The following is a 22,195-nucleotide window of genomic DNA, read 5'->3' as shown; positions in this document are numbered from 1 at the left end:
CAAAAAGCATGGCAAATGCAATGGTACCTCACATTTCAATACTAACATTGAATATAAATGGTCTAAATTCTCCACTTAAAAGATACAGAACCACAGAATAGATAAGAACTCACCAACCAACTATCTGTTCCCTTCAGAAGACTCACCTAACACATAAGGACTCATATAAACTTAAAGTAAAGAAGTGGAAAAAGGCAATTCGTGCACATGGACACCAAAAGCGAGCAGGAGTAGCTATTCTGTCTGATATAAATCAGACAAAACCAATTTTAAAGCAACAGAGTTAAAAGAGACAAAGAGGTGCATTATATAATGGTAAAAGGCCTTGTACAACTGGAAAATATCACAATCTTAAACATATACACACCTAACACTGGAGCTCCCAAATTTATAAAACAATTACTAATAGACCTAAGAAATGAGATAGACAGCAACACAATAGTAGGGAACTTCAGTACTCCACTGACAGGACTAGATAGGTCATCAAGACAGAAAGTCAACAAAGAAACAATGGATTTAAACTATACCTTGGAACAAATGGACTAAACAGATATATACAGAACATTTTATCTAACAACTGCAAAATACACATTCTATTCAACGGCACATGGAACTTTCTCCAAGATAGATCATATGATAGGCCATAAAACAAGCTCAATACATTTAAGAAAATTGAAATTATATCAAGCACTCTCTCAGACCACAGTGGAATAAAACTGGAAATCAGTTCCAAAAGGAACCTTCAGAACCATGCAAATACATGGAAATTAAATAACCTGCTCCTGAATGAGCATTGGGTCAAAAATGAAATCAAATGGAAATTAAAATATTCTTTGAACTGAATGACAATAATGACACAACCTGTCAAAATCTCTGGGATACAGCAAACGCGGTGCTAAGAGGAAAGTTCATAGCCCTAAGTGCCTACATCAAAAAGACTGACAGTGCACAGACTGACATTCTAAGGTCACACCTCAAGGAACTAAAGAAATAAGAGCAAACCAAACCCAAACCTAGCAGAAGAAAGGAAATTACCAAGATCAGAGCAGAACTAAATGAAACTGGAAAAAAAGTACAAAAGATAAATGAAACAAAAAGCTGGTTCTTTGAAAAGATAAATAAAATTGATAGACCGTTAGGAAGATTAAGAAAAGAAGAGTAAAAATCCAAATAACCTCACTAAGAAACGAAACAGGAGATATTACAACTGACAACACTGAAATACAAAAGATCATTCACAGCTACTATGAGCAACTTTGTGCACATAAACTAGAAAACCTAGAAGAGATGGATAAATTCCTGGAAAAATACACCCTCCCAGATTAAATCAGGAAGAATTAGATACCCTTAACAGACCAATAACAAGAGCGAGATTGAAATGGTAATTTAAAAATTACCAACAATAAAAAGTCCAGGACCAGAAGGATTCACAGCAGAATTCCACCAGACATTCAAAGAAGAATTGGTACCAATCCTTTTGATACTATTCCACAAGATAGAGAAAGAAGGAACCTTAAGTAAATTCATTTAATGAAGCCAGCATCACCCTAATAACAAAACCAGGAAAGGACATAACCAAAAAAGAAAACTACAGACCAATATCCTTGATGAACATTGATGCTAAAATCTTTAACAAAATACTAGCTAACCAACTCCAACAACATATGAAAAACATAATCCACCATTATCAAGAGGGATTCATACCAGGGATACAGGGATGGTTTAACACACACAAGTCAATAAATTTGATACACTACATAAACAGAGTTAAAAACAAATATCACATGATCATCTCAATGCAGAAAAAGCATTTGACAAAATCCAGCATCTCTTTATGATTAAAACTCTCAGCAAAATCAGCATACAAAGGACATACCTTAATGTAATAAAAGCCATCTATGACAAACACACAGCCAACATAATACTGAATGGGGAAAAGTTAAAGACATTCAACATAATATTGAATGGGAAAAAGTTGAAGGCATTCAACGGGAACAAGACAAGGAGGCCCACTCTCACCACTCTTCTTCAATATGGTACTGGAAATCCTAGCTAGAGCAATCAGACAACAGAAAGAAATAAAGGGCATCCAAATCGGTAAAGAGAAGTCAAACCGTCACTGTTTGCTGACGATATAATCATTTACCTTGAAAACCCTAAGGACTCCTTCACAAAGCTCCTAGAACTGATAAAAGAATTCAGCAAAGTTTCCGGATACAAGACTAATGTACACAAATCAGTAGTTCTTCTATACACCAATGGCGACCAAGCAGAGAATCAAATCAAGAACTCAACCCCTTTTACAATAGTTGCAAATAATAATGATAATAATAAAACACTTAGGAATATACCTAATCAAGGAGTTGAAAGACCTCTACAAGGAAAACTACAAAACACTGGATGACACAAACAAATGGAAACACATCCCATGCTCATGGATGGGTAGAATCAACATTGTGAAAATGGCTATACTGCCAAAAGCAATCTACAAATTCAGTGCAATCCCCATCAAAATACCACCATTGTTCTTCACAGAATTAGAAAAAACAATTCTAAAGTTCACATGATACCAAAAAAGAGCCCGCATAGCCAAAGCAAGAGTAAGCAAAGAGAACAAATCTGGAGGCATCACACTACCTGATTTCAAACTATACTATAAGGCCATAGTCAACAAAATGGTGTAGTAGTGTATAAAAATAGGCACATAGAAACCAGTGGAACAGAATAGAGAACCCAAATACTTACACCCAACTGATCTTTGACAAAGCGAACAAAAACGTAAAGTGGGGAAAGGACATCCTTTTCAACAAATGGTGCTAGGATGGCTAGCCACATGTAATGAGAATGAAACTGGATCCTCATCTCTGACCTTATACAAAAATTAACTCAAGATGGATTAAGGACTTAAACCTAAGACCTGAAACTATTAAAATTCTAGAAGATAACATTGGAAAATCCCTTCTAGATATTGGCTTAGGCAAGGATTTCATGACCAAGAACTCAAAAGCAAATGCGATAAAAACAAAGATAAATAGCTGGGAGCTAATTAAACTAAAGAGCTTTTGCATGGCAAAAGGAACAGTCAGCCAGCAGAGTAAACAGACATCCCACAGAGTGGGAGAAAATCCTCACAATCTATACATCTGACAAAGGACTAATATCCATAACCTACAAGAAACTCAAACAAATCAGTAAGAAAAAAACAAACGACCCCATCAAAAAGTGGGCTAAGGACATGAATAGACAATTCACAAAACAAGATATAGAAATGGCCAACAAAAATATGAAAAAATGTTCAACATCACTAATGATCAGGGAAATGCAAACTGAAACCACAATGCTACACCACCTTACTCTTGCAAGAATGGCCATAATCAAACAATCAAAAAACAGTACATGTTGGCGTGGATGTGGTGAACAGGGAACACATCTACACTGCTGGTGGGAATGTAAACTAGTACAGCCACTATGGAAGACAGTGTGGAGATTCCTTAAAGAACTAAAAGTAGAAGTACCATTTGACCCAGCAATCCCACTACTGGGTGTCTACCCAGAGGAAAACAAGTTGTTATTCGAAAAAGATACTTGCACCTGCATGTTTATAGTAGCACAATTCACAATAACAAAATCTTGGAACCAACCCAAATGCCCACCAATCAATGAGTGGATAAAGAAACTGTGGTGTGTGTATGTATGTATGTATATATATATATATGTGTGTGTGTGTATATATATATACACATATATATGTGTGCGTGTGTATATGTATATACATACACCCATCGGGTGATGGGTGCACCAAAATCTCACAATTCACCACTAAAGAACTTACTCATGTAACCAAATACTACCTGTACCCCAATAACTTATGGAAATAAATAAATAAAAATAAAAACCAACCTATTAATGTTACAAAAAAAAAAAAAAGAACCAAAAGGAGATCAGTTTAGCAACTGAAATGACCAACTTTTTGACAGCTGGCTGAGATGTTCAGGAAGCGGGGAATGAGGGCCTTGATGGAATTGTGGGTAGCAGTTATACCCCCAGCCAATGGAAGCTTCTCACCAGCCAGGGGAGAATGCAGTGCTCAGTCCTCAGGATCTTCTGCTTCAGGATTTTGGAGCAGGAGTCTGAGTAAGGTGAGTATTGCTGAACTTTGGAGTCTGGGCTCCGCATTAACCAGTTAGCTGGGGGACTTGGCACAAATCATTTGCCCCTCTGGGTCTCAAATTCCTCAACCTGAATGGCCCCCAAAGGCCCTACCGTCTCTGACATTCCACATGTTTTGTCTGTGAAGCTGATTTAGTATTACCTTCTCAGGGGATAGTCCACATTTGGCTGCAACTTCCGTGATACAAGATTCGGTGATCAGCGCTGCCTGAGGAAAGCCAAACCCACGAAAAGCTGTGTTGGATGGAAGGTTGGTTCTGCATGCCCAACCCCGGCAGCGGAGATTGGGAAACTTGTAAGCATTGTCCATTTTCAGAAGTCCCATTTCTATCACCTGGAGAAATCCAGAGTTGATGTGATTAAGATCTTCTGAACCTGTTTCACCATCCTACGACCTCAGACCAAAACCAGGCCGAAAATGGCAGCTCTCTTTTCATCTCATCTAACATGCTAAAATATTCCCATGCCCCCAATTAAACACATTTTTTGCTGTAAAATAATTTTTAAGTATTAGAATAATTTTTCCTTTGAGAGCATTATTTTTTATTTTTGTATTTTGGAGTTAATGCATTTTTTAAGATTTCAAATATATACAAAGGCCTTTGATATGTTCACAGGCCCTGAGCACTGGGTCTATAGAATGTAATGAATATAATATCCTGGAAGACAGTGAAAACAGAAAAAAATGTTTTGGCATTGGGTCTAATGTATTGGTTCTCAATGGGGAGCAATCCTTTCCCTGCTCCTGGGGACGTCTGGCAATGTCTGGAGACATTTTTCATTGTTAACATTTTGGTTGAAACTCTTTTTTTTTTAGACAGAGTTTCACTTTTGTTGCCCAGGCTGGAGTGTAATGGTGAAATCTCGGCTCACTGCAACCTCTGCCTCCGGGGTTCAAGTGATTCTCCTGCCTCAGCCTCCCAAATAGCTGGGATTACAGGTGTGTGCCACCATACCCGGCTTTAGTAGAAACAGGATTTCACCATGTGGTCAGGCTGGTCTTGAACTCCTGGCCTCAAGTGATCCACCCACCTCAGCCTCCCAAAGTGCTGGGATTACAGGTGTGAGCCACTGCGTCTGGCCTGGTTGAAACATTTTTGTTTGGGGTTGGGCTGGACACAGTGGCTCACGCCTGTAATCTTAGCACTTTGGGAGGCTAAGATGGGAGGATTGCTTGAGCCTAGTAGTTTGAGATCAGCTCTGGCAACATAGTGAGAACCCATCTCTACAAAATAATAATAAAAAAAAATTAGCTAGGCATGGTGGCATGTACCTGCAGTCCCAGCTACCTGGGAGGCTGAGGTGGGAGGATCGCTTGAGCCACCGCACTACAGCCTGGGCACAGAGTGAGTCTCTGTCTCAAAAAATAAAAATAAAAAAAGACTACAGGGTGGTAATGCCACTGACACCTACTAAGTAGAGGCCAAAGATGGTACAATGAGCAGGATAGTCCCCACCATAAAGAGCTACACACTCCAAAATGTCAATAGGGCCAAAACTGAGAAAGCTTGGTCTCATGTGTGCATCTAGGAAAAGAGCTCTAAGTATGGGAAGCCGGGGGGTAACACACAGATGCAACTTAGCCAGCATCTCTGGGCTCACACTTTGGGCACCAGGAAGTAACACATGGCTATCCCTGCAAGGATGGTCATTATACCTTTATAATCAAATATTACTTAACTATTGGGCATTTTCTAAGTTAAATTATTTTATGTAACACTCTTTTCAGGAATGTGAACTTGCTCCTTAAAACACTTACGAATAATGATTCATCCAAGGAGGCGCCTGCATTGCTGTAATGCTCCATGTCCAGGGCCAAGATTCTGCCATCGTTCATGAATCCAGCCTGGGGAAGAGAACCGATATCGAATGCTGGAACAGGGGCCAAGTCTCTCCAAATTTTGTCATTTGCAAACCCTCCACACATAGGGGAAAAGCGTCATGACATTGGATTTGGCAGTGATTTCTCGGATAGTATATAACTAGCTCTGTGATCTTAGGCAAGCTGTGTAACCACTCAGACTATCTGTGAAATGGAAGTAAATAAGGCAACACATAGAAAATTATAGGCAAGTGCCTGAAACATAGCAAGTACTCTAAATATAATTAATAATAGTATCGTAAGTAGTATTCATATCACCTTTCCTCACACTACTCTCCATCAGAAAACATTATTTTCTCATAGTTTTAGTCACCATTATGACAATGGCTTCTGTCACTATAATCCAGTCCTTTCAGCAAAGTCCCATGGTGGTAAAGGACATTTCTGCTTCAGGGTCCTGTTGTCACTTCTACCCCCAGCATTTACACAAACAAGCTCTTCATCGTTCTTCCAGATCGGTTCCTCCTTCCAACTTGTCGCTTTCTTCTAAAACCCTCCAAGTCATGTTTGCGGTTGTATTCTTCATAGCATTTTGCCAAGATTTTCACCAATTCTCTTTTATTTTACACTATAATGGCTCTTGGACCCATCTCTTCTACAACTTACTGTCATATCTCAGACCCCATGTGCTTCATGTCTGAATGCATCAGCTGCCTCCCGCTGTCTACCAGCTTCCATCCTCTCTCCTCCCCAGACTATCCTGTTACCCTCCCCAAAGCATCTGTGTTTAATTACGGCACTGAGCCATTCAAGGATCCACTCAGTCTCACTGTTTCTTTTAAGATCAAGTTTAAACTTCCCACTCTGGGACTGTAGGCCCCTCTCAGTCAGGCATCACCTAAACCCATCAATCCTATTTTTTACTACCTTCCAGGAAGTGCTCTGTGTTCTAATTCTCCCTCTCCCCTTACTCTTGCCTCTATCAAACATGCCATGTTTATTACACCTCTGTAGTTTTGCTCTTACTATTCCCACACCTGGCATGCCTTCCTTCTGCCTATCCATTCTTTTTTTTTTTTTTTTTTGAGATGGAGTCTCGCTCTGTCACCCGGGCTGGAGTGCAGTGGCGCGATTTTGGCTCACTGCAACCTCTGCCTCCCAGGTTCAAGCGATTCTCCTGCCTCAGCCTCCCAAGTAGCTGGGATTACAGGTGCCTGCCACCATGCCCGGCTAATTTTTTTGTATTTTTATTAGAGACAGGGTTTCACCGTGTTGCCCAGGCTGGTCTCTAACTCCTGAGCTCAGGCAATTCACCCGCCTCAGCCTCCCAAAGTGCTAGGATTACAGGCCTGAGCCACCGTGCCTGGCCTCCATTCTTGAAGACCTATCTTTTACCTTCTTTAACAAAGTGCCTATATATATTCCAATTCATATTCATCTCTCCATCTTTTAACCTGAGATTGTTATATTTTCATAATGACTTCATATATGTCTTATTAAAAAAAATCTCCTTCAGGATGAAGTTTACTGTAACAAATCTTTCTGAGCTAAATCAAATTCAAAATACAGTTTAGAGTGAGTGTGGTTTGAAATGGAAACATTCATTATCTCCTAAAAAACATGTATTAGTTATGCAGTTTTGCGATGGAGACAGTGCTATGCATTTAACAAATCCTATTGTATTTCATTCTGGGCACACAGGAAGATGACATTTCCCAGCCTCCCTTACAGTTAGGTGACAGAGGTCTCGCCAATGACATCTGGATACAAGTGAGATCCACAACTTACAGGTCCGGTGCCTAAAACCTAAAACACCTACCAGGTGACACTCCATGCTCTCTTCTCTCTCGCTTCCCTGTCTGCTGCCCTCAGCAAAAGATCCCCTGGAAGACTCAGAGTTTGTAGGGCAGTGATACCCAATAAAACTTTCTGTGATGATGGCAATGTTCTGCGTCTGCACTGTCCAATATGGCAGACACTAACCACATGTGCCTACTGAGCACTTGGAATATAGCTAATACGACTATGGAGCTAAATTTCTAATTGTATTTAATTTGGGTAATTTAAATTTAAATAGCCATATGCTCCTAGTGACCACTATATTGGATGATGCAGTCTGAGGGCACAGTGGCACCAATAAATGGAAACAGCTCCAGTCCCTGAATGATTTTATAAAGCAGAATCCTCCCCTTTCCCCCCTCAATGATTATATTGAGCATTATATTGAGCTGTTACTTGAGCAAGAAATGACGTAATGAAAGTTTAAGAGCTTTTAAGTTGTTTCTTAGAGAAGTTAGCCCACTCTGAGAAGTAAAATTTTTCTTATAAAGCAAAAGAATCACTATTTTCTACTACAAATTTTTTTCTATGAATTTCTGGAACCTCATTTTACAAAAATATCCTTGATATATTGAAGAATGAGGAACCCATTTACAAATAATTGCAATTTCACATAACACTACTGTTATGAGAATTATTCTACTTTTACCTCTTTTATATGTGGGAAGAAGTATGGTAATCAGATCTACTTTAATGGCGTACACACTCACGTTTTCTAGTTATTTGCTCTGTACAGCCAATACCAGCTAGCACTTAGTGTTTTATTTCTGAAACTGACATCTTTGAGCTAAGCAGAAAAGCCTCCATTGAACCAGCTAGTAATTAAAAGTCAGTGCAACCAATAGAAAGTTAAATAGATGCTCTGTTTTTGATTTGCTCATTGTTACTCCCCACTAGAGAGTAGCCAAAGACTGCCCTGCGCACTGATAGGATGTTGTATCTACAACATAAATCCTTCCTCCATGCCCTCTTGTACTCACTTTGTACTTTCCAAGGTAAGGATGGCGGCCTCCAGTTATTAACATGTCTTCTCCTCGTTCCAGAACACAGCGAACTGCACGGCCATGTCTAAAACAGAAAAAAAGTAAGTGAGGTAACCTCTTTTACCTAGCAGGCATTCTCTGGGGTTTATATAACTCCTGGCAAGAGCCTGAGTGGAGCCTACACGCCTCACAGAACAACACAACTATTTCGCATGCCTATCCTCTGCTGATCTCAGGCATACACCGTGGGCTTTCCTCCCGTTAGGTCAGGGAATAATGCCAGGCATTTGCAACTTGTGGGACAGAGGCTCTTGGGTGCCAGGGGCTCCAGGACATTGCTTTGGGGGCATTTCCCATTGTAATAACAACCTTTATTATAGGCAAATCGTCCCAAGGTCTTTAGACTGGCCACAAATGGAAGAATGCAGATCTAACTACCAAGTGCTCCCTGATAGGAGAGATCTGGAATCAAGGTATTTTTGCTTCCTGGGATGGAGGAACTGACCCATATTACTCAGCAAACAAATTAAGCCTTCTAGGTGTGCCTGCTCCAGAGACAATTTTACATGAGAATTTTTTGAGATCCTCAAAGGAAAATGGCGATACAAATGAATGTAAGCATAACAAAAGCAAAGTCTATATTTAAATCAAGAAAATATACATATACACACATATACATATATACACATATATACATACACGTATATGTATATATGTGTATGTATATGTACATATATGTATATATGTATGTGTGTATATGGGACCCCATTTTACAAAAATATCTTTGATATATTGAAGAATGTACATATATACACACAAACATACATATACGTTTATAAACATATATGTGTGTATGTATATATAGGTACATGGTTTATATGTATATAAATATATATGTGTGTATGTATATATAGGTACATTGTTCAAAAAGCCATATATATGACCTCTACATATATAGCTCAGTCCAGCAGGTGCTGAGGACAAGTAACTCCCACCCATTCAGGACCTGTTTCTGCCCACTTTCTAGGTATTATATTTTTTCTGTGGCTTTTATTATTTTCAGTAATTGACTCTTATTTTGGTTGCTATAGGACAATATAAGACAAGTAAGTGTAATAAGCTGGCAGCTTGTTTGTGTGTTTGTATCGTATATGTGATATTAAATAATCTTGGCCCAGGTTCTTCCTCATTGATTCTGACAGTGAGAACTTTCAGTGTGACTTCACTTTATTTTTAGCAGATTTTCTCCACTTACTTGTTTGCGGCAAATGCAGTGACGGCTGCAATGATTCCGGTTTTTAACACCTTCCCTCCAAACGCTCCACCAACACGCCTTACATGGCACATGACCTTGTTAGCTGGGAGCTTCAAGGTTGAGGCAACAATGTCCTGTGAACAATAATAGTTCTGATTAATCTGATCCATCTTCAGCAAGGACTTAATTGTGACTGTCATTGTCACATCTATGATTTTAACAACAACAACAAAAAACCTGTCCCCTGAAATGGACTGTGACAGTCACTAGATGTTTTGATTCTTTAATGTTGCACATGATACCCATACTGTGTGGTTATGCTAAATAATGGGATAATGTCCAACAACCCTGGCCCACAGCCCCAACTGATCTCAGCAATACTTGGCTATAATGACATTGCCAAAACTAATTAGTAGTGTTTTCATTACCAGTGAGATATTTTTGTACTCATACTTTTTTGTATTTTCCCCAGGAACCACTCCTAAAGTATTCTATTCACACTAATCCCTAGGCATACGTTTCCCAAAGCTGTGGGATTTTGCAGTCTTCTAAGCCTCACTCAGCATGGGTCTTTTCCCTGCATTCTACTGTCTCTACTGGAAAATAAGCACTTCTCAGCCAGATGTGGTGGCTCATGCCTGTAATCCCAGCACTTTGGGAGTCCAAGTCAGGCAGATCACCTGAGGTCAGGAGTTCGAGACCAGCCTGGCCAACATGATGAAACCCCATCTCTACTAAAAATACAAAAAGTAGTTGGGCATGGTGGTGCGTGCCTATAATCCCAGCTGCTCAGGAGGCTGAGGCCGGAGAATCGCTTGAACCTGAAAGGCAGAGGTTGCAGTGAGCTGAGACGGCACCACTGCACTCCAGCCTGGGTGACCAAGCGAGACTCTGTCTCAAAAAAAAAAAAAAAAAAAAAAAAAAAAAGCACTTCTCACTTCTTGCTTGGATTGCTGCTAAAGATGACCAGTTGGTCTTTCCTAGATGCAGATCTCACTCTTTTCTGCCATCCTAATGATTAGGGGTCATTTAGTCTTAACAATTGATTCTTACAGATGGGAAGCCTGAGACGGATGAGGTTATGGACCCAACATCCCACGGAGAGTGAAGAGAAAAGCAGGCCTGGAATGGAGTTCGTCTGACCCTCTTTAGGATCCTGCCTTTTACGAGGCCTCATTCTCCATAGTCTCACATTCCTACTCCTCTGCTAAGAGCACTGGCTCCTTATGACCAGAATCAAGACCCCCTGCCTCATTTCCCTTACTCTCACCCTGATGCTTAAACCTAGCTTTCCTAAAGGCACCCCTTCATTCCAGCTGGGGCGGTCATTGTGCTATTCCTCCTTCCTTCCATGCATGCTGCGTAGGGTACAGGACACAGGCAACAAATGTTTGCAGAAGAGGTGAGAAAATAAATGAATGGGTGTCATTTGATCTTGCTGTGGAATTGCCTGGAAGTGACCTCTCTTGTCTTACCATCTAGACAAACCTCACTCTCATTCTGAATCCAAACTTAAGACTTCTTTGTGGGACTTCCTGGATGATTCTAGCCCTCAGCAAACTCTTTCCTAATTTCTCCACCCACATAAATTTTGCCTTTGCTGATTTAGCACCTGGTTGCATAATTTTCAATATTGTTTCTTAACTGTTTCCTGTGAGTTAGGCACCATAGGCTTTGGAGAGCAGGTCTTCCTCTTTCTTCTCTTGTGTTCCTAACAGTGGTGCCAAGAGCTGAGCAAGAGATCTGCTGATTCCATAACTGGTTTTAAAGCTACAATCCACAAACAAAAGGCTCCCACTTTAATAACACTCTTTTAAAAGCACTGAACTTATATGGCTATTAATACTGAAATCAATATGGCTATTAATACTCAATATTTCTTCAGTCCCTGAAGAAATAACATTATTGGTTTTGTTTTGTTTGTTTTGTGTTAGAGACAGGGTCTCACTCTATCTCCCAGGCTGGAGTGCAGTGGTGTGATCATAGATCACTGAAGCCTTGAGCTCCTGGGTTCAAGCAATCCCCCCACCTCAAATTCCCAAATATACTTTTACCTCTAATTGCTCTTGATATATTTCACTGGCCAGAAATCATTTAGCCATGTCCTCTCCACAATGGCCCCATGTTACCTGTATATATTTGGGAAACTGTGTGGACACGTAGACATCCATTTCTTGATCCTCTCCCTTGGGAACGACAAGCATGCTTTGGGTTTCCATATAAAAATGTTCTTGACCTCCCATATGTATTTCACCTGTTACAGGAAAATACATAAAAGTCAAGGAAGCAGTCAGAAGCAACAGGTAGCGTCCCCCAGGTATTATCCCGTTATGCAGAAATTCCACTAATAGTACTTCTGCTGGGCACAGTGAAGTATAACAAACAACAATGTTTAGCTTTCAGTCTACTTGCAGATTTGAAGTAAAGTTCTATAGGAGAATCTTTTGTGTCTGCCAATATCTAGGTCACAGAGTCCTAGAGAAAGGTGTATGACTTTCTAGAGCCAAAAGCAGAGGGGTCTTGATTCAGTAGGTCATAAGGAGCCAGCGCTGTTAGCAGAGGCGTAGGAATGTGAGAATGCGGAGGCTTCCAGCTCTAGGACCAGCAGGAGTAGATGTACTGCTCCCTGTCCCTCCTGTTAAGTACAGATAACAACCCTGAGCATTATTTATAAAACAAACATAAGAAGACTCTGAAAGGTGGAGAGAAGGCAGACCAGCTAGGGACTTCAGGACCTAAGAAAAGACACAGCAGTGAGTTCAGTGGGTTTTTTTGTTGTTGTTGTTGTTTGCCTCAGATATCCCAGACTTAGTTCCGGAGAAGCCAGCAATCTAAAAACTCCAACAGGCAAAGACAAAAAAAAAAAAAAAAAAAAAAAAATCCTCAAGAAAAGCCCACTCTCCCTAGCCAAAGGACCAGAAAAGTGGAAGACTAGAAAGACAAAAAAATTAAGACAATAAGCACTCTACTCCAGGCAAACACCATGAAAAAAACTGCAGCCCCACCCCTACTGTGAAGGTTGAGTAGGAAATCTATAGTTCCACCCTCATCAGGCTGCAATGAGGTGTCCCAGCCTCTCTATTGGGGTGCTGTCAGTGGATGCCACATGGGGAACCTGGACTTACAACCCCTACCTAGCAGTAACAAGGCATCACCCCCTTCTTCTCCATCAGTAAAAGGTTAAAGTACTCTAGTGAAACAGAATATTCTAATAAAATAGAAGATTCAAATAAGATCTAAAGTCTCATTACATAATATCTAAAATGTCTAGGATACAATCAAATATCATTCATACCAGGAACCAAGAAAATCCCAACTTCAATGAGAAAAGACAATCAACAGATGCCAACACTGAGATGACACAGATGTTAGAATTATCTGACAAGGATTTTAAAGCAGCTGTAATAAAAATGCTTTAATAAGCAATTACACAAACACTTGAAACAAATGAAAAAATAGAAACCTCAGCAAAGAAATAGAAAGTATAAAAAGAAAAAAGAAATAGAAATTTTAGAATTAAGAAATACAGCAAAAATTTAAAAAGTTCAAGGGATGGGCTCAGCAACAGAATAGGGAGAACAGAGGAAATGATTAATGTACAAGAATATAGAACAATAGAAATTGGCCAATCTGAAAAGCAGAAAAAAATAGACTGGAAAAAAAATGAACAGCACCTCAGGAACCCATTGGCTATAACAAAAGATCTAATATTTGTGCCATTGAAGTCAAGCCATTATTTGAAAAATAATGGCTAAAAATGTCCCCAAATTCACAAACGACACTAATCTACAGATTCAAGAAGCTGAGTGATCCCAAATAGAATAAATTCAAAGAAATACACTCCAAGATACCTCATAGTCAAACTTCAGAAAACTAAGGACAAAAGCACCATGTTGAAAGCTATGAGAAAGAAACACTACTTCATCTATAGGAGAAAAGTACTTTCGTGGTGAAACCCTGTCTCTACTAAAAATACAAAAATTAGCTAGGCATGGTGGTGGATGCCTGTAATCCCAGCTACTCAGGAGGCTGAGACAGGAGAGTAGCTTGAACCTGGGAGTCAGAGGTTGCAGTGAGCTGATATCACACCACTGCACTCCAGCCTGGGCGACAGAGTGAGATTCCATCTGAAAAAAAAAAAAGAAAGAAAGAAAGAAAAAAAAAAGCACTTTTAAAGACAGTAGATTTCTCTTCAGGAACCATGGAGGCCAGAAGAAGTGGTAAAATTTTTCTAGTGTGAAAATACCTGTCAACTCAGAGTTCTATAGCCAGCAAAAATATCTTTCAACAATGAAAGGGAAATGAGGACATTTTCAGATGAAGGAAAACTAAGAGTTTGTTTTAAACGGATTTACCCTGAAATAATGGCTGAGGGAAGTTTTTAAAACAGACAGAAAATGATTTTTTTTTTAAATGAAGAAATCTTAAAATATCAGGAAGGAAGAAAGAACAACAGAAATAATAAAAATACCAGTATATACAATAGACTTTCTTTCTCCTCTTGGGTTTCCTAAATTGTGTTTGAAGCAAAATTATAACATTGCTTCATGTGATTATCAATGTATGTAGAATAAATAAATAGAATTATCAATTATATTATAAAAAGGGAGAGGGATGTAAAGGGAGGTAAAGCTTCTACACTTGACTTGAACTTGTAAAATGTTGAAACCAGACTGTGATATTTTATATATGTAAATATTTTATATGTATATAAATTTTATTTTATATATGTATGTGTATATGTATGTGTGTAAACTATCTAGAGCTACCACTAAAAAAAATCTGTACAAGGAGGTATACTAAAAAATACTATAGATTAATCAAAATGAAATTCTAAGCAAATATTCAGGCAACCCACAGGAAGGTGGGGAAAAGAATAAAAAGCAGAGGGAACAAACAGAATACAATTATTACTGACGATCATGTTAATGGAAGGCAGAACTTTTAAAAATTAAAAATTTACTCAGCAATAGTGATTTGCAAATTGAGGATTCCCTCAATTTGCATAAAAAATGAGATGTTTTAAATTGCAATCTGGACTTCCTATCTTATCGAAAATCTGAGTTTAAAAAAAGAGCACAGAAAAATGAATAGATTCTGCTTCACTTATAATATATAAACATTAAAATTTCACAAGCTCAGATCTTAACTTCAATTTAAGCTCTTATCAAATAGTCTAAAGACCCATGTCATTGTCACTAGGCTTACATTCAAGCTTGCAGTATTATTGATTCTGCCTATCCACTCAGAATTTATTTTGTTAAGTAGTCACTTTATTTAAAATATTCAGAGCTAAAAAAATTAGACAGAGCTGTTCCTGTTTAAATCTGTAAAGAAGGGAAAGTTTTAGAAACCTGTTATATTGCACTGCCTACCCTGACAGCCCCCACCCGTAGTGCCCCCTCTTCACCTTAGGGTATTGCTGTCAACTCTCTAGGTTGGAAACCAATTTGATCAACTAATCCCTGAGATAAAATGTTATCCCAGTATGGGTTTAGGAGTGATTCCTCCAGGCATATTTACATTTTAATAAGAGGCCCTTAAAGTCCCAAATCTGCTAAGATGTGAATGTGTCTATCTGTACCATGCCCAGCAGGATAGGTTGTGGGGAAAATCATCTCAGTTTCAGGGCTCCCTGGGTCTCTTGCAAATCCTTTTATACAGATTGTTCTCTGTGCTCTCCAGTATAAAGCACATCCCAGCTAACAGAATTTTAATGAGATAAATGAGAAGCAGGATAATGTAGAGGAAAGAATACTAACTTTGGAGTTGGGAAAACTCTTAGATTTCATCCTGGTCAATCAGGTAGCCTCTCTAGCCTCAGCTGGCTCATTTGAAAATGGTAATCTTTAGCATCCTCTGGTGCTGTGACACCGGGATTAGATAGAGTTGAAATATATCTTCGCAGCAGATAAGTGCAAACAATAATAGTTCTCCCTCCAAGAACGCATTCTAAGACCTGATGTAATGCTCCACATATTTTATCTTTTAAATATTTTTTTTCTTGGAACACCTATCTTCTTTCTTTTTTTCCTTCAACTTTTAAGTTCTGGGGTACATGTGCAGGATGTGCAGGTTTGCTTCATAGGTAAACGTGTGCCATGGTGGTTTACTGCACAGATGAACCCATCACTTAGGTATTAAACCTAGCATGCATTAGCTATTCTTCCTGATGCTCTCCCTCCCCTTACCCCCACTCCTACAGGCCCCAGTGTGGGACACTTATTTTCTTAGAAGACAGATAAAGTGTTGCTATGATAATTAATTGCAATTACCTCGCATTGAAATATCATGAGATATTAGGAGAAACTCATAATCCAAAAGACGATAGCAGACAAAGGGAAAAGCTAGACTCAAACTTGTGAGTCAAGAGGATGAAAATTGGTTTTCTTTTGCCTTCCCTTGTCTTTCCCTTCCCTTGTCTTTCCTTTTCTTTTCTTCCCCTCCTTCCTTCCTTCCTTCCTTCCTTCCTTCCTTCCTTCCTTCCTTCCTTCCTCCCTTCCTTCCATCCATCCATCTTTTTTTTTTGACAGTCTCACTGTTGCTCAGGCTGGAGTACAGTGGCCTGATCTTGTCTCACTGCAATCTCCGCCTACCGGGTTCAAGCCATTCTGGTGCCTCAGCCTTCCGAGTAGCTGGGATTACAGGTGTTTGTCACCACACCTGGCTAATTTTTGTATTTTTATTGGAGACAGGGTTTTGCCATATTGCCCAGGCTGGACTCAAACTCCTGGCCTGAAGCTATCTGCCTGCTTCAGCCTCACAAAATTCTGGGATTACAGGCAAGAGCCACCGTGCCCAGCTTCCTTTTTTTTTTTTTTTTTTTTTTTTTTTAAATAGAAGGAGTCTTGCTACATTGACCGGGCTGGTCTCAAACTCCTGGCCTCAAGCAATCTGCCTGCTTCAGCCTCACAAAGTGCTGGGATTACAGGCATGAGCCACCATGCCCGGCTTCCTTTTTCTTTTTTAATAGAAGGTATCTTGCTACGTTGACCAGGTTGGTGTCAAACTCCTGGCCTCAAATGTCCTGCCTTGGCCTCCCAAAGTGCTGGGATTATAGACGTGAGCTACTGCAGCTGGCGTTTATACTGAAAAGTAGTATAAATGTCCTTTTTAATATTCCCGTATCATTTTTATACTTATCAATGGGGTATGCAGCAATAACAAAAATTCAAGTAAGAGGCAGACTAAATCAATCACCTAATTGAATTAGATAATTAAAGAAGATGTCAAGGAAAAATACAACAATGGAATTCTTGCACAAATACTCATTATGTCAGGAAACAAACATGAAACAAGGAACCCCCCTAAATATTGATATTTCCAACATGCTCATGCCGGGAACGCTCTATGATAGAAATGTACCCTCTTTTTCTCTTCATTCCCATAAATCAAACTCACTTTTCCAGTATTTTCCACATTTTACTAGCCCTAAGAATTACCTGGAAAACTTGTTAAGACCAGTTCCTGGGCTGTTTTGGATCCTCTACAATTCTAAAAAAGGGCACAGGGATCTCTAGGTCTCATAAATATCCTCAGTGATTCCTATAAGGAGAAAATCTTGGAAACACTGGGTTTGATAAATGAACACCTGCCAACGTATCTCACTAATAGACAACATTTTCAGGAAAACAACAAAAACATCTAAATCTAATAATCATTGCTCACAGTTATTGATTTGTTACTATATGCCAAGAACACATGATTATCTCTTATAATCTTTATAATTCACATTTGAAATTGTTTTTACTTTATCCATGTAATATTAAAACAGGGAGACTGAGCCCTGAGAAGTGCCCTGCCAGGTTACACAGCTAATAAGACACAATGCCAAGGAAAACTGGTAGGTGACAGTTCCAGGTGTCTTTCCTACAGCTTTCAGGTGACATTTCCAGTCAGCCCCTGACACGCTTCAAGTTTAATGCACCTATAGAGTTGAGACATGATGGGCTTGGAACTTAAGAAGCTGGGCTGACTGGTGACATATTACACAGCTCTGGCTGTGCACTCAGGATGGGATGTGTCTTAGGACTCTTCCTATTCTTGTGATCAAGGTTGGTGAGAAAAATTAAGAAGATGGGAGTTGTGTTTTTTGTTTGTTTGTTTGTTTGTTTGTTTGAGATGGAGTCTCCTTCTGTCACCCAGGCTGGAGTGCAGTGGTGCAATCTCGGCTCACTGCAACCTCTGCCTCCAGGGTTCAAGCGATTCTTGTGCCTCAGCCTCCTCAGTAGCTGGGATTACAGGCTCCCACCACCACGCCTGGAATTTTTGTATTTTTAGTAGAGAGGGGTTTTTGCCATTTTGGCCAGGCTGGTCTTGAATTCCTGGCCTCAAGTGATCCACTCACCTCGGCCTCCCAAAGTGCTGGGATTATAGGCATGAGTCACCATGCCCAGCCCAGAAGATGGGAGTTTTTAACATGCACTAGAGGCCAATGCCCTGGAAATTCACTTAAAGACAGATAATGCCGGATGATTTCTCTGCTCTGAGATGTGGCACAGACTGCCCATACCCACCCAATAGCATGTCTGTAAATCAGAGATCTTGTGAGGCAGGCATTAGGACAGCTTTCACAGCAGCAATGACAGCAGAGTGTGGCGGGGAAAGCATGGGTTATTTAAGACTTATGATGAACCTCTTTTTCTGCTATAAAGGACATTATTGAGACAACTAGCGAAATTTGAATAAACTGTGTAGATTAATAGAATATGTGTTAATATTCTGATTTTGATAACTATGTTTATGTTAGACAACATCCTGTTTTTAGGAAACAAATGCTGACTATTTAGGGGTAAAGAGACATACATCATGTTTACAATTTACTCTCAAATGGCTCAGAAGTGTGTGTGTGTGTATGTGTGTGTGTATAATTGGGGAATCTGAGTGAAAAATATTTGGGAGTTTCTTTAATGTTTCTGCAACTTTTATGTAAGTTTTAAAATATCTCAAAGCCAAAAGTTAAGGAATTGTACTGGAAAGCTATAATTAACTATTTTCTAAGAGGCAAATTTAATTTTAATTACATACATACATACAGCAAAGAAGTCTGGAAGAAAGAGAAAGGAGAAAGGGAAGGGAAGAGGAAGGGAAGAAAAAGCAGAGAAGGAAGAAAGGAAGAGAGGGAGAATCAGAGAGAGAAAGGATGAAGAAGAAACATGGGCTTTGGAAATCCTAATAAAGCCTATCAATTCAATGGCCAACTCTGTTATTTAGTAGTTGTTGTGTGACCTTGGTCACACTCCATAATTACGCTGAGCCTCCATTTTCCAGCCTATAAGATTGAGATAATAATACCCTCTTGCAGGGTGGTTGTGAACAGGAAAGAAAATGACATCTCTAACAACTGGAGCCTTGATGAGGGAAGGGGGGTCAGGGAAGAGGGGCAGGGTCTTGCCTCCTCTTTTGCCTCCCCATTGGCTCTTGGCCTACCCCAGAGACGGAGGGAAACACATTTGTGAATGAGGTGCCTGTTCTGCCTGTTCCTGAGGAGCAACACCCCCCTAGGCTGCCCGATGATTTCCAGAAGACAAAGGAAGCCTTAAACTGACATGCTTAGAAGACTTCCAGGGTTGTTTACTCTTCCATTACTTTTTACCTTCAAGAATTTGATCAACCACTTTAAATGCTTCGTCAACATTTCCATATTCCAGTTTCCTTTCTGGCTTGAAGGAGGAGTTGTGTTGTATACTTTCCTAGAAAGAGAACAGAGGAATGAGGCAGCTTGGGCAAGAGACCCTGCCCTAGGGCAGCAGACACACCCCACTGCACATCCTCTGAGCAGGGGTTGTTTCTCCCTTCACCTTGTGGTTCCGTGCACTTTCACCATGACCCTGGTGAGCCAAGCTAAGAATCCAACTGCAGAGAGACTCCCCAGTGAGGAAATGTAAATGTGCCTACTGAGTCTGAAGAAATAATATGCACAGAAAAAAACTGGCATCTAAGTGATCCCAGAATGAAACTAGTATTTTCCAGGCAGGTTATTGTCTGCACACCACAATCCATTTCATGTAGCCAAGGCCATACAGCACAGGGCTTCAGAGCCTGGGCTCTAGACCCAGTCAGCATTGTGCACACATTTTTCCCACTTACCAGCTTTGACTGTGGGCCTATCACTTCACCTCTCTTATCATTGTCTGTAAAATGGAAGTAACAGGTGTGCATATAGCTCCAATAGGATCGTGGTTGGTGAAGATAAAATGAAATAAGACGTGAAGAGCTTATATTGCATATAGTAAACACTCAATAATTGCTAGTTGAAAAGACTCTAGTGATTGGGATCATGGTGGCTCTGCCTGCCAGCCCCATATTCCTTCTTTGTGGGGATGAGCATTTCATTTGCACAGGGCAGTAGAGCACCTGGGACCTCCAGCTCTGGAAGTAAGATTTCAGACAAGCCCTGTCTGGGAGCTGGGTGTACAAATCCATTTATACACTAGCTCCTATTGGCTCTCCCTGGGTGCCCAGTAAAAGGGTACAGTGGTGCACAAAACCAGAGATGTAGTTACAATAACATAGGTTGGTTTTTAGCTATCCCTGAGAATTTATCTTGCAGTAATCCATGTGTCCACTGGCAAATGTGGTGTGCCAGCTCCTGCTGGCATTATCTACTGTGGGTTATTGTCCATCCATGAAATTCCATTCTGTTGGTAGTTGGGGATTCTCTTATCTCTGTTTCCTTCTGGCCACCAGTAGGTGTCTAGACAACACCCCTTAGAGGGATGGGCTATTGTGATTCTGCCATTTCCCCCATTCAAAAACTGGGTTGGTTTGTTTATAGCACCGGTGGGGCCCAGGTTCTTTGACAGAGTGTTTGTTGATTGTTTTTGTTACTGACTAGCTATGTAACCTTGGGTAACCCTGCCTTTTAGTTTCCCCATCAGAATGGGGATAAAAATAGTTTTTGCCTCATAGGATTGTGGTGAGCATTTAGTAAGTTAATGTGTGAAACTGACCTAGAACCATGTTGACCACACAGTGAGCTCTGTATAGGTCCTAGCTATGCTCATGTTGTTGTTGATGATTATTATTCAGGACAGATTCCGGTAGGGAACACATTTTTTTCCATTATGGTCATCAGCCTTACCCCTTGATTCAAGAGTTTTGATCGTTGCCCCATTCAATCTACTAAAAACTCGAAAAGCATGTGCCAGATTAAATCTTTGTGATAGTGACAGAGATATATTTGTTTTTGTTCTATTTTGATTGATAACACACTTCCTATTGGAATCTGTTCATGTGCTTTTCTTATTAATCTAAGATTAAAGAGATTCCAGGTTGAAAAAAAAGCTAGGTTTTATAAATCCTATTTTTAAAAGTTTCATCTTTTTCAACTTCACTGGCTGCTTGCTCTTTGAATAACTTTGAGCCAATTTTCTGAATTTTTCTTAGTCAGGAAAGTGATAAAAGAACTGTAATGTATAGGGAGAGGGGCATATTTCCCTGCTCTAAACTTTGATTAAATTTGCTCTGATCCAGTTGATGATCTTTAGACTTTGAGAGCTTAATCTCTGAACACAATGTGAGGCAACTCTTTTCCACAAAGCCAGAGCTTGTATCTGATGCTGGGATTCTCTGGCAGACAATCACGAGTCTGCTGGTTGAAGTGGTGAGGGTGGGGGGAGTGGCATCTATTATATTTGCTTATTGGGGCTTTTATTTGGCTGGAAGGTAGGGGGAGTGGAGAGTAGATATTTAGCCCCTGATATTGGGCAAAGATTTATAAACAAAATATTGATGAAGTGTTACGTAAATAATTTCTAATAAGTAATTCTAACTCTCCAGCAAACTTCAGGGGACAGAATATATGAAGCAAGAGCAGCATGCAACATGTAAATGAAAAGGGCCTGAGAAGGGAACAGAGTGTTTGAATTTGAAACTGGCCAGGAAAATTTGGGAGGCCTAATCACACTTCGACTCCAATTAGACTTCTACGTTTTTGTCTATTTGACATGATTTTATTTTTATTTTAAAATGTAAGAAAAATTCCCAGAGACAAACTCCATGTTCCTAAGCATCAAGCAGCATGGCAAGAAGCACCCCCAACACCCAGTTCTCCTGGAGACACTGATCGTGCCCAGGTTGTTTCCTCAATTCTGCCTCAGGCCATGCCGGTCACCCAGAGAACAA

At 39.9% G+C, this 22,195-nt stretch overlaps 1 protein-coding gene across 5 annotated transcripts in view; it reads right to left on the bottom strand.

The window, feature by feature from the left end:
• The window catches only part of AOX1 (aldehyde oxidase 1), a 96,228-nt gene that overhangs the window by 35,128 nt on the left and 38,905 nt on the right, over window positions 1-22,195 (bottom strand). For all 5 annotated transcript variants that reach the window (XR_007073113.1, XM_011511062.2, XM_017003946.2 and 2 more), the window contains exons 20-25: window positions 19,665-19,761; window positions 12,199-12,323; window positions 10,070-10,203; window positions 8,812-8,899; window positions 5,930-6,016; window positions 4,313-4,504 (exon numbers count right to left, since the gene is read on the bottom strand). Coding sequence is in view for 4 of the 5 variants with exons in the window: in XM_011511062.2 (XP_011509364.1) it covers window positions 4,313-4,504; window positions 5,930-6,016; window positions 8,812-8,899; window positions 10,070-10,203; window positions 12,199-12,323; window positions 19,665-19,761 (723 nt within the window). In the remaining variant the exon portion in view is untranslated. The remainder of the gene's footprint in view (window positions 1-4,312; window positions 4,505-5,929; window positions 6,017-8,811; window positions 8,900-10,069; window positions 10,204-12,198; window positions 12,324-19,664; window positions 19,762-22,195) is intronic.

Source organism: Homo sapiens, chromosome 2 (assembly GCF_000001405.40).
Source record: "Homo sapiens chromosome 2, GRCh38.p14 Primary Assembly".
In the NCBI taxonomy this organism is placed as follows: domain Eukaryota; kingdom Metazoa; phylum Chordata; class Mammalia; order Primates; family Hominidae; genus Homo; species Homo sapiens.
This window is presented reverse-complemented; position numbering and strand designations above follow the sequence as displayed.